General features: G+C 51.7%; 2 annotated features.

The window, feature by feature from the left end:
- Nucleotides 11,609–12,281: an enhancer, noted in NCBI's record as "H3K27ac-H3K4me1 hESC enhancer chr11:44985644-44986316 (GRCh37/hg19 assembly coordinates)". NCBI's record gives its function as "activates a minimal SCP1, AML or CMV promoter by ChIP-STARR-seq in primed H9 embryonic stem cells {active_cell/tissue: H9 hESC(primed)}" and the evidence as "EXISTENCE:reporter gene assay evidence [ECO:0000049][PMID:30033119]".
- Nucleotides 12,282–12,953: an enhancer, noted in NCBI's record as "H3K4me1 hESC enhancer chr11:44986317-44986988 (GRCh37/hg19 assembly coordinates)". NCBI's record gives its function as "activates a minimal SCP1, AML or CMV promoter by ChIP-STARR-seq in naive H9 embryonic stem cells {active_cell/tissue: H9 hESC(naive)}" and the evidence as "EXISTENCE:reporter gene assay evidence [ECO:0000049][PMID:30033119]".

The raw sequence follows: 16,010 nt of genomic DNA on the forward strand, positions 1-16,010 counted from the left end.
CCAATAATGAATGAATCAATCAATCAATCAAAGTATGTGACTCTAGATGAGGATTATTTTTAAGGTGTGTTGGGTGGAGCCATCTGACTCAAGGCTCTATAGTAATTTCTGCAACAACTCAGTCTCACCTCACTGCCTTTACAGAGCTGGGCCAAGCTGGGTTGATGAATTCATTTGTCACTCCCTCTTCTGCCTTTCTGGCACTCAGGGCTCTGGATTGCTGAAGGGAGGGCCCCCAGCGTCATTCATGTGCAATGTCCTCCCAGACTTGGGGACACCTGCCAGTGCTCTGCTTGGTGTAACCCTAAAGACTAGCAGCAGGGTCTGTGCTTGTAATCCCAGCCAGCCTGATCATACATCAGTGGGAGGCCTTTGTCACAATCACTCCAAGTTTTCCAACATGGAAGAGGCTGCCTTAGTTGTCATGAATGAGTGCCCTGTCACTAGCAGCATGCAAGCAGAATCCAGGGAAGGGTTGATGAGGACAGCAGAGGAAGAATTCCCACCTTAAGTGGTATTTGGAGTGGATAACCTTTGCCCTCTGGGTGTCTGTATTCTCTCAGTCTCCTTATCAACGGGGAAGCTGGGGAGGCTGGGAGCTCAGGCTGGGCCAAGGCTGCCCCACCATCCTTTGTGAACGAGGCCATCCTGACAGTGCCTCACCCTTATGCCAGGCAAGGTGCTATGTGCTGGGGCCCCAGGGGTGAACAGGACAGTGTCCCTGTCCTTGGAGAGTTCACAGCCCCCTTGTAGATGACTGCACAGATAGTCAACAGCAGCAACAGTAACCGCTCAAGATAACAGGCAAAGTGCTTGGAGGGGGACCAGGGGAGAAGCAGCTGGCTCTATCCATAACCCCCTGCATCCGCTCTCCAGAAAGCACCCATTAGAGGCTCTTATTGTCTTCCTCCCTATATACTTTTCATTTATTTATTTACTTATTTATTTATTTTGAGATGGAGTCTCGTTCTGTCGCCCAGGCTGGAGTGCAGTGGCGTGATCTCGGCTCACTGCAAGCTCCGCCTCCTGGGTCCATGCCATTCTCCTGCCTCAGCCTCCCGAGTAGCTGGGACTACAGGCACCCACGACCACACCCGGCTAATTTTTTGTATTTTTAGTAGAGTCGGGGTTTCACCATGTTAGTCAGGATAGTCTCGATCTCCTGACCTCATGATCCGCCCGCCTCGGCCTCCCAAAGTGCGGGGATTACAGGCGTGAGCCACCGCGCCCGGCCCCTATATACTTTTCTAAAGTGATGTGTCCAGTTCAGAAACATCCCTTAGGCAGCCATTCTGCCCTCAACTCTTCTGAGTTACCTGATCTTTACACTGGGCATAAAAAAAAAACTCACCTCACTGGGCTGCTGTGAGGAGTAACATTGACATTCATTAAGTGTGCCCCTAACGACAGGCAAGAATAGATGCTTGGTGCACGGTAACAATGAGGAGTCATCATTATTCTAGGTGAGAGTGAGATAAGTCGGCTAGGACCTTGGCTCTGCTCCTAAGTAGCTATACGACCCTCGCCTGCACGGATATAAAAATATCTGCCTCATAGAACTTGTGAGAGTCAAGTGAGGTGATTCGATGAAAAAGGTTTGCAAACTGGAAATGCTGATTCCTATTATTGACATTATTATTGTGATTCTTACCTTGGTGAAGTGTTCCTCTCAAGGCCCCAGGGGGGTGGGGATGGGAGTGGGGTTGGGGATGGAGCCAGGAAGCAGCCAGCGGCTGTTGCAGGGGTGGGAGGGTCACTCCTCCAGACTCCCACAGGAACCTGGGAGCAGCAGGGGCTCCATCTGCCCTGGTCGCCCTCCACAAGCAGGGGCAGCAACACCTCCTTGGTGGCCAGGTGTGAGTGAGCACTTAAGAGTGCGCCTGTGTGTCTGTGTTTGTGCCCCTGCAGGAAGGTGTGGTGGGCACAGGGATTGCCAGTGTCTGCAGCCAGAAACCACTATGGACGAGGAAGAATGGGGATGTAATTGGATTTCAAAGATGCTTGGAGTGAGACTACTGTTATCACCTGGGACTGCAGGAGAGAGGCCTGCGGAGCGGGGGTTGGGCCTAGTCTTTGGGGTTGGGGCCAGGGGAAAGGTTTCAGCACTGATGGGCACGTGTGGAGGAACATGATGTTGTCAGAGACCTGTTGTGGTTGAGCCCAGGGATTTTGGACCTGACAGATCTGGGTTCAAGTCCTGGTTATGGGACCATGGGCCAGTGATTTCACTTCTCTAGGCCTCAGTTTGCTCATCTGTAAAATGGTGATAATAACAGGGCCTACCTGGTGGGAGTTATTGGAGGTTTAGCAGAGAGGCTGCACGTGAAGCCCTTAACATGGGGCAGGCACATCGACAGTTATCAATCAGTGCCACTGGTGTTATTATGCGGCAGCCTGGGAGGAGCGGAGGGAGAGGGCCTCAGGAGTGCTGGTGCATTCTCAACTGGAACAGGGAGCTCTGGGGTGAGAGTTGTCTAGCCAGGGTTCATTGAAGCTGGCACAAAACCCAGAGAGAAGGAGCCGCCATCCCACAACACAAGGACTGAGGCAGAGAGCTGGGCTTTCACAACTGCTTCTGGTTCCCCTTCCTGGTTTCCTCTCATTTCCTCCAGAGCTTCGTTCTCTGTGAACCTGCCTGGTGAGGAGAACTCTGTTACACATAGCTTTGGGGACTGGAAGGAGCAGCTGGGAGCTCAGGAACTCCCAGGCAGGCCTCCCCAGTGCTTCCTGCCCCCACCCCTCCAGAGTGAGCACTGACCAGCCCTCCTTCCCCGACCCCACACAACTGCCAGCTGCTTCCCTCCAGTGACTCATCCCCACCACCTCTGTTGCTACACCAGGACCAGGAAATGTCAAGCAGTTTCTTATCTGTGGGAGAGAGAACTGATCAGGATGGGGGTGGAAGAAATGAGGCTCAGATCTCCCCAAAGAAAGTGTATGACAGCTAGGGGACCAGAAGACCATGGCCAGCCCTTTCCTGCTTCCTGTGGGGGAGGGCTCAAGGAGGCAGTATGAGAGTGGGATTTAGCCACTAGAACCATCCTGGATTTAGGTTCAAGGTCCTAGTCCTCTTCTAACCGGCTCTGTGGCCTTAGGCAAGTAACTCAGTGTCTCTGAGCCTCAGCGTGTTCATCTGCCAAATGGAAAGAAGAAAATCATGATGATGCATAGGGTACCTGGGGGGTTAAGTGAGATAGTACATGTGAGTCCGGAGCTCACAGTCAGTTCTCAATGAATGTTCATTGACTCAATTAATGAATGGACATGTGGAAATGGCGGTGAGCTGTGTGCATGTGGCCATCTGCAAGAAATCCACCCTCCACCAGCTGGGAGAGTCGGGGAGATGTCTGTGGACCTTGTATCGCAGGCCTGGGACACTGTTGCTCTGTGCTGGTACTGAAGGGACGGCTTCCAAAACTCAGGGCAGATGGAGTATGGAGTACCCCTTGTCAGCATAGCTGACTTAAGAACCTCAGGCTGGGTCCAGATTTTCAGAGTGCTGAGCCCTGGCCAAGAAAAGAATTGCTATGCAGGGAAGTGAGTAGCAGATTTTGGACCCTCATCTTGGGCGACCCCCAGGACCTCTTCACAGTGAGTGCCCAGAGCAGCCACTCTGGGCTGTGGGATCATAGTCTTGGACCCTGGGCAGCCGGCTAGGCCAATGGCCACCGCTTCACTTGCCTCCTGTCCAATGATAAAACCCCAGGGGCTTTATCATTATTTCAAAAAATAGCATTCTGAGCCCGTACTATGTACCAGACGCTGGTCTAGAATCTTACATGTCATTAATCCTAACAAATCTCACGAAGTTGGTACCATTACTAGTCCCATTTTATAGATGGCAAAACGGAGGCCCACTGAGTTACATAACTTACCCAAGATCACACCCTAGAAAGCAGGGAGGTGGGACTGGAACCCTGGCAGTCTGGCCCAGAGCTCAGGTGGTTCTGGTGCTGCCGCTGGCCAGGGCAGGCATTGCTGATCCCTTGTAAGGCCTGCCACTCCTGGACCACCCCCACCCCAGTGAAGCCATACAGTTTGGGGACAGTAAGTCACCTGCGGACCGACAGGAACATCTGACAAATAGATTCTAGTTTATAAATCTCTTTAGAGTGTATGAGTCTCAAAGCCTACTTGGGGGCAGGAAAATGTTAGAAACACAAATTCTCATTTCCACCTCAGACAACTGAAACTCTGGGAAAGGAAGTCACAGGGGCAACAATCTGTCGTCCAACAGCCCCCCACGTGATTCTGATACAAGCCAAAGATTGAGAACCATTGCTTTAGAATTTGCAAAGCAGATTCCTAGATTATCTAATTTAAATGGGCACTTTGCTATTATTCGGCTCATTTTACAGGTAAGGCTAATGAGTTTCCATTTGCCAGCTATCACCCATCAGGGAAGTGAAGATGGGCCTGGAACCCACACTTTTTGATTCTGGAATATTCTTGTTTGCCCTCCTGGGACCGGGCTGCTGAGCAAGGTGGGTGGGCGAGGGACTCTGAGCTGAAGGGCAGGGTGAAAGACCAGAGGGGAGGGGAGGGAAGGGATTCCACCTCCTTCCCTCCTGGGTGAGGAGCGGGCAGCGTGGATAATTCCCTCGGAGGCGCCCCAACCCAAATCTACATACATAAAGCCCAGGCTGGCGTTTTGAGTGATCGGTTTATTAATACAGCGGGGCCGCTGCCGAGGCGGATCGCAATAACAAAGAAGGCCTCTCCGCCACCCACCAGAGGCGTCGTTATGTAATTGCTCCGAGGAGGAGCAGAGGGCTGGGGCGCGCCGCGGGTGCTGGGGGCTCGGCCAGCAGGGAAGCTGCGATCCGGGTCTCTGGGGATCCGAGCCGGCGGCGGATGGAGGGAACACTTGCTGGAGAGTCATCAGCCCTTCACCTGGTGCTCTCCTCCTCCCACGCACCGGTCAGCGGTCAAGGGGCGGGTTAACACCGGTTTGGCAGGGCGCAGACCTCCGCCCACCCGGGAGAATTGACCCCGGAGGCAGATCTGCAGACCCAGAGGACCCCAGGGCTGACCCAGGGCCTCCCCTCCGCCACTCACCACCGCCCATCCTTGCCCCACTCTCACCCTGGGATGGGGGAGAGAGAGAAATGACCAACTTTTTGCGCGACTTCTGTGGGCAACCTCTGTGAGGTAGTCCATTTTTAAAATGGAGAACTGAAGCCCAGAAAGGGCTGGCTTCATGTACCAGGGTTTTGAATCCCCAAATTTGTCAGCTTCGAAGCCCACATTTTTTTCCCTTGGATGCCACAAGGGGTCTTTATAACCACCACGGATCGGTTTTTGCCACAGTTTCTCCAGATGCTGTGGTACTTCAACCCTCCTGGCCTTTGCAAACGCTGAGCCCTCTACCAGGCATCTCTGAGAAGTCCTTCCCAGCCCTCCCCGACCCCCACTCACACCCCCCACACATCCTAGGAAGCCTTGGAGGCTACCTCTTCCAGCTCTGGGAGCAGCTGGTGACAGCATCTGCCACACTGCTTCATGGGAACTACTATCTTCTGTCTGTCCCCATCAGGCCACGTGCTCTGGGATGGTGGCTCCAAGGAGCCTAACACATCTTCTTCACTCAGCCACTCCATCTCACCCCTCAGTGCAAGGCTGGGCACACAGCACTGGGTGAATTTAAAGTGAAGGTTTGAAGCCTCAGGCGGATTTAATGCTTAGTGACAGTCTTCAGACCTTCCCTTCAAAACTCCACACACTCACCTCTGGCTATGCCAACTCCTAAGTGTGTGGCCTCTGGCAACTTCTGTAGCCTCCCTGGGCCTCTGTTTCTCCATTGTACAACAGGGCTCACAGCAACCCCGAATCTCATGATGCTAGTTAGTGTTTACTGAACACTTACTATATGCTGGGCACTGTGCCAAGCACCTGCAGTGGGTGGCTTCGTGAACTCTGCACACTGGCCCTGTGGAGGTAGTTGCTGTTATTATCTCCATTTTATAGATAAGTAACTCTCAAAAAAAAAAAAAAAAAAAGATAAGCAACTCTCCCAAGTCTCCAGCTGATAAGAGACACAGCCTGGATTCAAACCGTGCTCCTTCTGTCCCCTGGGTTTCTGACTCCCTTTCACAGGACTATTTTGATAATTAGAAGAAAAACAGTTAAGGGTCAGCATGCAGCAGGTACTTAATAATGTTTCTGCCCTCCACCGTAAAGGTCCCAGGGCAGCTCTCCTTTTCCCCTTCCATTCTCTCCCCCATTGCCACAGGCCCCAGGGCATTCTGGGAGCCCCTCTGTTCAGGGTGGGGCTGAGCAGGGGGAGGCAGGAGGACCCAAGTGTTCTGGTTCCTGAGTATAAATAAGTGATTGTTTTATATCCTTACAGTAAGAGAAGGGCATAGCATACATTTGCCAGTCTAACAGGTTGAGCTGCAACTTCCCTGTGTTTTGCCAATCGCTGATATGTGTTTTCAGCCCAAGGCAGTAAACAGAAGCCCACTCTGCCTGGCAGTTCCATGGTCCTGGAGTGAGGAAGGGCATCTGACCCGGAAGCTCTCAGATCAACTATCTAGGCCTACTGAGAAAGTAAGTGTCAGTGGGGATACTGAGATAGGGAGAGTTCCTGTGGGTCTCCCCCAGGCCATGAGAACTCGAGCAGGACTCCTCCCTTCTCTCAGTGTACACAACAGAAAATGGGGATTATATATGCAGAGAGGGAGAGAATAATTACTACTTATCAATGACCATGTAGAGCAAGGCTGCAGGGTGCTACACCTATGGCAGATGGAGTGGTGCAGTGCACAGCCTGTGCAGCAGGACTTGGCAGCCTAAGGGGACAGGCCATCATAGATCTACAGCTTCATCCTGCAAGATTCATAATAAGCTTTAGATTATTCCAGCTAAAACAAATGAAGGAATGAATGCATGCGTACAGACATAGATACATCCACAAAACGAGTGATGAATGCAACCCCAGTTATGAATCAGAGAAGCTCATAATCTAGTGCAAGAGACAGACATCTGAGCAGTTGCTACTCCTAGCTCCCCTCTTGTTCCGGGCTCTGTCCCGGGTTAGGACCTTGCCTTTGTCCCTGCTGTTCCTTCGGCTTGACCTTTCTTACCCATCACACCCCAGTCTTCATCTGCCAGCTCTTCACCATGCTTCTCTTATCTCAGCTAAAATGTTTCCGGGCCAGGCGCGGTGGCTCATGCCTGTAATCCCAGCACTTTGGGAGGCCAAGGCGGGTGGATCACTTGAGGTCAGGAGTTGGACCAGCCTGACCAACATGGTGAAACCCCATCTATACTAAAAATACAAAAATTAGCCAGGCATGGTGGCACATGCCTGTAGTCCCAACTACTGGAGAGGCAGAGATGAGAGAATCACTTGAACCTGGGAGGCAGAGGTTGCAGTGAGCCAAGATCTTGCCATTGCACTCCAGTCTGGGCGACAGAGCGAGACTCCATCTCAAAAAACAAAAAACAAACAAAGTTTCCTCTGGCAGCTTTTCCCTACCCACTCTCCCCCATTCGCCCATCCCCCAAGCCTCATGCCGAAGTTGGGCCACATCCCTCGGTCCCCATAGACCCCCGCAAGCTGACCCCAGTAGCTCCCTCCAATCCCTGTAGTGAATTTGACGGCTGGGTTCCAGGTTCCCAGGGCTGGCTGTGAGCTACTCAAGGGCAGGGCTGTATCTCGTTTCCTGCTATGCCTTTGTGCCTAGCACAGTGCCAAGCACACGGCAGGTATCTGAACAGTGTGGGAAGAGAAAAGGTGGAGGGGAGATGGTTGGGGGTAGACTGTGAGAGTGGAGGTGGTAAGGTCCCACCCCCAACCTCACACACAGCACCCTTAGCCCAGGCACTGATCCCAGGAGTCTAAGAAGCTGATTAGAACTGCCCATGGCTGCAGCTAACCTCGGAACTATGCCCCACCACCTGCTGTCGTCTCCCTGCCCCCACTCCTACTTCCCTCTCTCCTGCCTCCCCAGGGGTCCGGGGCAGCCTCCCCCTCCCCCACCCCATGGTGAGAAATCCCAAAGACTCCTGGGCCTTTCTCTGCTGCCCGGCTTTCCCGCCTCCCCTTTTTCTTTCTCTTCCTTCTGCTTTGCCTCACATTCAATCTCTCCCTCCCCCAGCCTGGTGAATCCAAACTGAAAAAAAAAAAAAAAAAAAAAGGCCCACACAACAGCTTCAACAGTGAAAAATAACCAATTTAAGGAGTAATCGCTGCTGTAATGATTGTCTAAGCCCTGAGTCACTGCAGAAAATCGGACTGAAGCTCTGGGACTCCCAGGCTCCCTGAGAGTGTCATATGGGTTTTTGTTTTTGTTTTTTTAAATATCCAGGACCTCAGTGTCTCCATCTGTAAAATGGAAGGAATATTATCAGCCCAAAGGAACTGATTGTTAATCTCCTGATTTTCCCTGGGGCTGGGAATCAGAGGTTAAGGTGGTCCACACAGTTGGCTTGGGAATCACCACGGGACACATTCTTCTACCACAGGACCCATGGGAGAAATGTGGTGCCTGGCAGGTGCTGAGAGACTCACAGCTTCGAGGGTCTCTGGGAAAGGTTTCTAGAGATTGTGGTGTTTAACTGAGCTGGGAAGGATGAATGGGTGAATGAGAGCTATGGGAAGTGATGGAGTGATGGAAAGTCAGCTCTGGAAGAGACTAGACACCTCATCTTGCCCTATGCTCTCATTTTACAGATGAAGAAACTGAGGCCTGAAGGGCTTCAGGAACTGCTCAAAGTCATTAGTGGCAGAGCCCAAATTAGTGGCAGAGCCCACATTAGAAAGCAGGTGCCTTGACTCCTGCTCCAGTGCTCTTTCTTTCTTTCTTTCTTTTTTTAGACGGAATCTTGCTCTGCTGCCCAGGCTGGAGTGCAGTGGCATGATCTCAGCTCACTGCAGTCTCTGCCTCCTGGGTTCAAGTGATTCTCCTGCCTCAGCCTCTCGAGTAGCTGGGATTACAGGTGCCCACCACCACACCCAGCTAATTTTTGTATTTTTAGTAGAGACGGGGTTTCACCATGTTGGCCAGGCTGGTCTCAAACTCCTGACCTCCTGATCTGCCCGCCTCGGCCTCCCAAAGTGCTGGGATTACAGGCGTCAGCCACCGCACCTGGCCTCCAGTGCTCTTTCTTATGATACCAGCCTAGCTCATAGGAACAGTAAGTACAGTGTGTGGAATGCTCACCGTGAGCCCAGCGCTGTGCTAATGCCTTATGCGCATGTGCACCATTGTCTTTCATTCTTGGAATAATCCTATAAGGTAGGATTAGAATATAGGTCCTGTTATATCTTAGTAAAGTTCACAGAGGTTCAATGGCTTATTCAGGGACACATAGCAGGGCTTTCTTGGCCCTGCAGCCCCTCCTGGCTTCTCTATTCTCCAACATGATCTAACATGGAGGGGTCTAAGCAGAGAGAGGGGCTTCTGGCCTGCACCCGTGGGTGGGCTGCCCTTCCCTCTAGTCTCTGTCCTCTCTAAGGAGGGTTGGAAAGGGGCCCCTTCCCTAGAGGGGAGGGAGCCTGGGCTTTCCCTGGAAGAAGCTCCCACAGGAATGGAAGCCAGATTGTCAAGGAGACAGGAGGCATACATTTAAAATCCCCATCAATAAGAGCCTGCCTTGCCAGGGCACATCTTTGAAATGCTAGGCTCTCCTGGTGAGTGCATTCCAGTTCCACGGGGAGGAAACCAGGTGGGATTAAAGGAGGTGGAACAATGTCCAGGGGTGGGAGGGACCAACCTGCCCCTCACCCAGACTCCACACTGGAATGAGCATTGCAGACAAGGAGCTATCTCCTAGGAAGCCAGGATATTGCATTGGGCACCACAGAAGCAGGGCCACCCATAAGATAAGGAAAAATGTTTTTAAACAATTTTATTTACAAAAATGTATTAAAGTACTGTTGTCATCATGGGATTTCCTTACAGTTACAGTTTAGTGTTATTTTTGTTTAGAATTCATTGGGGATGAGGGGAGACACCATAGTCTTTTCAGGACTTAGGGCCTTTAAATATTGTAGCTGTGCAGGGGCAGAATGGAGGGGCATGTTTAAGGGCCATCCCTGATCTCCCCAGGGGACTGGTGTCCAAAAGCCATTAACTAAGGAGCCTGAAGTACTGGGTACCGTGCCTAGCTCTGGTATGAATTTACAGCATCAAATTTACTTTATGAAACTGTATGCATTTTGGGGCCTTGATTTCCTCACCTATTAAATGGGTATAGTTACTATTGCTCCACCTATGTCACTGACCTTTAATTGTCATTCAGGCTAGAAATGAACAGAGACAGCCGGATGGGAGTGCCCAGGAGAACTTCAGGGACTCAGTTGTAAAGTTTATTACAAATGCAGATTCACAGGCCCCTCTCCAGACCTCCGGGGTCCAAATCCATGGGGTTTGAGCTGAGAGATCTGCATTTGTAGCCACTCCTCTCTCCCCTACTCAAGTGATCTGATGCTCATCACAGAGAGAACTCACCAGGAGCCAGAGATTCGGGTTCCTCCAATGGGCTGCCACCTCTGGCAAATGGCTGATGCCTCCTGCATGAAATCAGGGGACTGACCTGGGTGGCATCTGCAGGTGCAGCCTTCGTGGTACCTCTCTGAATGGCCTGGGCTGGGGCTGGCTGGCCAGTGGGAGGTGGAGAGGGCAACCCAGGACAGAGGCCCTGTGAGGCAGGGCCAGGACTTGAAGTCTGGTGCTGACAACTTCTCTAAGAGGAGGGTGGACCCCACCGCCCCAGCTTCCTGCTGGGCCCCAAGGCTCCGGAGACTCAGGTGGGCCATCTGCTCAGGCCTGGGCTGGGGAAGGGGGGCAGACACAGACCGCCCAGTACTGAATGGCCTCTCTGTTGGGCCCCAGCCTGAAGAACAGATGGCCTGAGGGCCGCTGGTGCTGGTGGGTGAGGGGGCGACATAGGCCGGGCCTCCCCCCTCCCGCTGGATAAGTCACAGAGATCTCTCTTCCTGAGTGAGAAAGCCCTCAAAAGGCACCCTTGGTGACAGCAGCCAGGAAGAAGTGAGTTTAAGGGGGATTAGCAGGTCCCCACAGCAGGCTGCTGGGGGAAGGCTGGGAAGCTGCCTGGCACCTGCAGCCTCCACTGGAGCCAGAAGGGAAGTGGGGATACCTGGTGTGGGAGGGCAGGGGCCGGCAGAGCTTTAGGCCCAAGGAAAGCCTAGGCATCACTCACTCCCAACCTCTTTTTCTTTTCTTTTCTTTTTTTTTTTTTTTTTGAGATGGAGTCTCATTCTGACGCCCAGGCTGGAGTGTGGTAGTGGTGTGATCTCGGCTCACTGCAACCTCCGCCTCCTGGGTTCAAGCGATTCTCCTTCCTCAGCCTCCTGAGTAGCTGGGATTACAGGTGCCCACCACCACTCCTGGCTAATTTTTATATTTTTAGTAGAGACGGGGTTTCACCATGTTGGCTAAGCTGGTCTCAAACTCCTGACTTCAGATGATCTGCCTGCCTCGGCCTCCCAAAATCCTGGGATTACAGGCATGAGCCACAGCACCTGGCCTCCCACCAGTTTTTCTGATGGGAAAACTGAGGCCTGGGAAGGCACAGATCCCTCGCTCCACATCACGCCGCAAGTCAGTGGCAGAGCCGGGAGTGGAACCTAGACATCCTGATGCCCTATTTGAGGCTCCTCCTGTCCCTCCTCCAGCTTCCCTCCTGACAGTCCTCCTTTCCCTCCTCCCTCCCCTCCACTCTGCCTCCCTCTCCTGAGGCCTGGCCAGGCCTCCCCACCTCTGTGTCTCTACCACCCTCTTCCTCTGGCCTGAAATGCTCTCCCACTTTAGCTGCTGCAGAGTCTTCAAACCTCAATGCAAGTCCCCACCTCCTGCAGGAAGTCTTCCAACCCATCTTCCGAACCTAAGCAACCAGAATGCGAGACCCCTGCACCGTCCACTTGGGATTGTTGAGGCCAATGCCTTCATGATAGAGAATCAGTACCTGAGAGTCAAACGGAAAGACTATTAGAAATGTTCCGCACAGCTGCTTCCCCCAGCCATTCTCCTGAGCTTCATTTTTCTTTAAAAATATATTAAAAAGAGCTTCACTCCAGAGAGGCTGTCAAGGAATCTGGTAAAACAAGGGTCCCTTTCAGTTCTTCTCTTGAAAGGGGATATTTTTTCTGCTTTCTCTCCAAGGTTTCCCAGAGGGTCGGATTTCCTTTTCTTTCAGAGGTAGGAGCTGAGCCACGCCTGCAGACACCTGCTCCTCAGCTTTGGAGATAATCGCGGGGTGATCAGCTCTGCAAAGGGCCTCACAGCTGCTGGGCCTGAACCAAAAGGGCCTCAAGGGAGAAGCTTTGAGGGGAATGTGGGAGGGGGAGAGCAAGGGCGTCCCCTTTTGGGGAGAGACCCAGGTGTGAATCACTGATCCAACATTTACTAGGCCTCTTGCCTGGGAAAAGACTTTGAGCTGCCTCTGTGCCTCCCTGGCCAGGCTATGGGGAGGTCTTGCACAAGGTTTGGTAGCCAAAGGGGAGAAGTTGGGCCTCAGCCCCTGCCCTCTCAGAGGCCCAGCCCAGGGACAGAATCCACCAATCGCAACAACCACTCATGTCTCAAGATTCCTCAGTCCACTTAGCCAAGAGTGTCCCTGACTCTGCCCTTCACCTGCGTTCCGGGCAGTGCTCGTGCCCTGACTTGCTGGGTGTCTTTAGGAATGACCCTGGCCCTCCTGACACTCCAAGTTCTCAGCCCTCTAGGCAGAAAGTGGACACCACTTTCTCAATAGCCTCTTCCACTCCTGGAAAACTACTTCAGGCTTTCTCTGAGTTCCTTGAAGCTGGGCTTCCAGCTCCCTGGTATGAGGAGGGAGGCTGGGGAGGGCTGAGGCCAGGGAGGTGGGAGTTTCCCCATAACTAGCAGCTTCCAGCTGTGACAAGCCCAGTCCAAGGAAACATTTGTAGATCCTCTCAGACCTGATTCGTTCATCTCATTATTCATGCATTTATTGAGCACCTACAATATCCCGGGACCATGCTGGTCTCTGGGCATATAGCAATGAAAACAGCAGACATGGATCCTCTCTGATGAACTCCAAGCACATTGCCTAGTTGGGGAGACAGTAGTCAGAGTCCATGAGCAGATTTACATAGTGACAACATGTGATGGGCACTTTAAAAGTTATAAAGGAAGCCCTGAGACAGTCACTGGGGGGAGAGTAATATTCTTTAGATGAGGGGCCGATCCAAGCTTCTCTGAAGGGTGACCTTGGAGCTGGGACCTGAAGGATGAGAAAGGGAACCTGCCATGTGTCATATGGGGGGCCACGAGTGATGCTGAAGGAGCGGCGGGGGCCAGAGCTGGTAAGAAGTTTTACTTTTCCCCAAGACCTATCATGAGCCATGGGGAGCAAGTGAAGGGCAGTGATTTGGTCAGGTTCACAATTTCCTAAGCTAATGCTGGTTTCTGTTTGCAGTTGGATTGGATTGGAAGGGAGAGGGACAGTGAGGAGTTCTAGAGACACAAGGGTCTCCAAAGTCGGGGGCACGCAGGCACTGCAGGAGGTGTTTAAGGGACTTATTTAAGGAGAAAGGAATATTAATTTTTTTATTTCTATTTCTATTTCATCCAAAAAAGAGAAAAGAATTCAGCATTACTAGTATTTATAGATTGACGCTGATGTCCATATTAGGTCTTTATATGAAATGTCACTAGAGGAAAGAATGGGAGCTGGACCACACAGAAAGGCCAGCCACTCTGCCCTCACTCTCGCTGTTGGCATTTAGAAGAATTTTTCTACTCATTTGAGACCAGTTATGCAGATTCATAGATTTATCAAATGGATACATGACTTAGAAAGAAGCCAGACAAAGGAGGAACAAAGAAAAAAGTGAAAAATGCTGAACCTAACTCAAATGTTGGATGATCAAAAGCATGGCGTGGCGTGGACACGTCACTCCTGATGGTGCCACTCTGGCCAACAGAGGAAGGAAAAACGGTGACAATCCAGTTGGATCCCACAAGAAGGTGGCCCCCAGATTTATACTATGAATGAGAAGACAATTTGAAATAAGAATTTATATCCACTATTATTACTAATGAACCTAGCTATACTGTATATTTTTGCTTTGTTAATAAAGGTAATAGTGGTAAAAAAGAAATCATCCATAGTAATTAAGGAATTTTAAAATATTTTATCTTGGTTTTATTTTTTAAATTTGTATTTTTGTGCATGTTTGACAATGTTCATGTTGGTATAGTCATGCATGATTATTATTTATAAATGAATTACTAGATTGAGTATGTGTGATTGACATTTTTTGCTGTTTTAAGGGCATGAGCAAACTAAGTAGAGAGGCCCGAGCTAAGATTTGAGGAGCCCAGGACCGGGGCTGCTGTGGGAGGCACTGACTGTCCAGCGGGATGCCAGGGCCCCTGGGCCCGGCCTGCTGGCTGTAAGGGCTTCCTGCTGGCATCCATGCCATCTGCCTAGCTCACTCTTCCCTCAGCCCAGACTTTCATCTGGGAAGGCTTTTTTTTCCCCCCTTTACAAATGAACAGAAGTTCATTCCCTTAAAGGGTAAACGGCAGATCCTGGCGAGGCTTTCAGATTATTTATTCTCTGGCCAGTAATAGAATAGAACACACTTCCTGGCTGGAGGAGGAGTCCATTCTGGTGCCTGCACAGGGGTCTGGAGCCCTGGAGGCCTGGGGCTTGCTCCCTATGAGGTTTGCCTGCTGGCTTCTTCTACACAAAGGCCCACTCATCCAACCTGTCCTTATGGGTCACGTCACTCCTGGGTATTTCTCTGTACAGCATCCCGGAAAGGTGCCAATAATGCCAGCTTTGTGTGTACAGCCCCCAGACCCAGCACCGCACATGTGATGGCCAACTCCCTCCATGGAGCGTGGCATTGGGCCAGCAGCCCCTCTGGTGGAAGGTCTTTCTCTTTGCTTTGGGGTTTTCAAAGTCCTTTGCAGGTACGGCACTGTTGCCATCAGCTCCGCCCTCACCAGGAACCCACGAGCCAACAGACCCTGGGAGAAAGATGTGTCCAGCTGCCTGCAGTCAGGCCAAGCTATGTGTCCAAGCTCCATGCGGTTTACAGTCCCTCTGGCTGAAGGGTCAGGGCCCCAAGCCCCTTCCATACAGTTCCACCCAACTCTCCTTTTCCCAAAAAGGCCTTCACAAACTGCAGAGGTCCTTGCAAGCCCGCAAATGTCTGTCAGCTGCCTGACTCCCTTCTCCCCATAGATCCCTGTCTGTTTCCTTTGTCACCAAAATCCAGCCAGAAATCTCCCCAGAGCATGTTCCGACTCTTGTTCCTAGGCGGCAGTCGCCATGTGGTTGGCATAGGTGCACATTTATTAATAAAATGAGCAAAATAACCAAATGCTTTGGCAGCTCCTGCAGCTTGCCAGAGGCTCTCCGCATGCCCAGTGGCACCAGAGGGTGGAGATGGGCCCTGGGAGGACGACTGTGGGGAGCCACCAGGGGAGACGTGCTTCTGACCATTGGTGAGGCATTCCACAATCCACAAGGGCTGATGAGTACCCACTGTCTCGGCTCAGGTGGCTTTTGGAAAAGGAACCCATGATGGGGACAGGGTGGCCTGCAAATGGTTGCTTGAGTGACCCTGCTCAAGAGAGCTCCACCCAGCCCTTCTCCTCAGAGAGTGAGCCAGGCCAGAATCCTCCAGCCCTAGGGAGTGGCAGAGAGCAGGTCAGGGCAGGCCCACCAGGGGCATGCTCTTCGTAGTAAATAATGGTGATTTAGGGTCCTGCCTCAACATTCAAATCCTACCTCTGTCCCTACCGGCAGGGGGGCCTTTGCCAAAACACCTAACTCAGCAGGGCTTCCCACTTCCAAATCACCTGGGATGCTGCAGGCATGACAAACCTGCATTACTGGGGCCTGTGCCAGGCTCACTCAGGGAATCATCCTCTGCAGAGACCCTGGTTTCTCACATGCTCTCCATGTGCATTTGCATGTGGTCAGGTCAGCACCTAGGAACCACTGATTTAACCTCTCTAAATTTTTATTTTCTTATTTAAAAAAGTGGAGATTGTTGTGAA

This window comes from Homo sapiens, chromosome 11, assembly GCF_000001405.40.
Source record: "Homo sapiens chromosome 11, GRCh38.p14 Primary Assembly".
Classification (NCBI taxonomy): domain Eukaryota; kingdom Metazoa; phylum Chordata; class Mammalia; order Primates; family Hominidae; genus Homo; species Homo sapiens.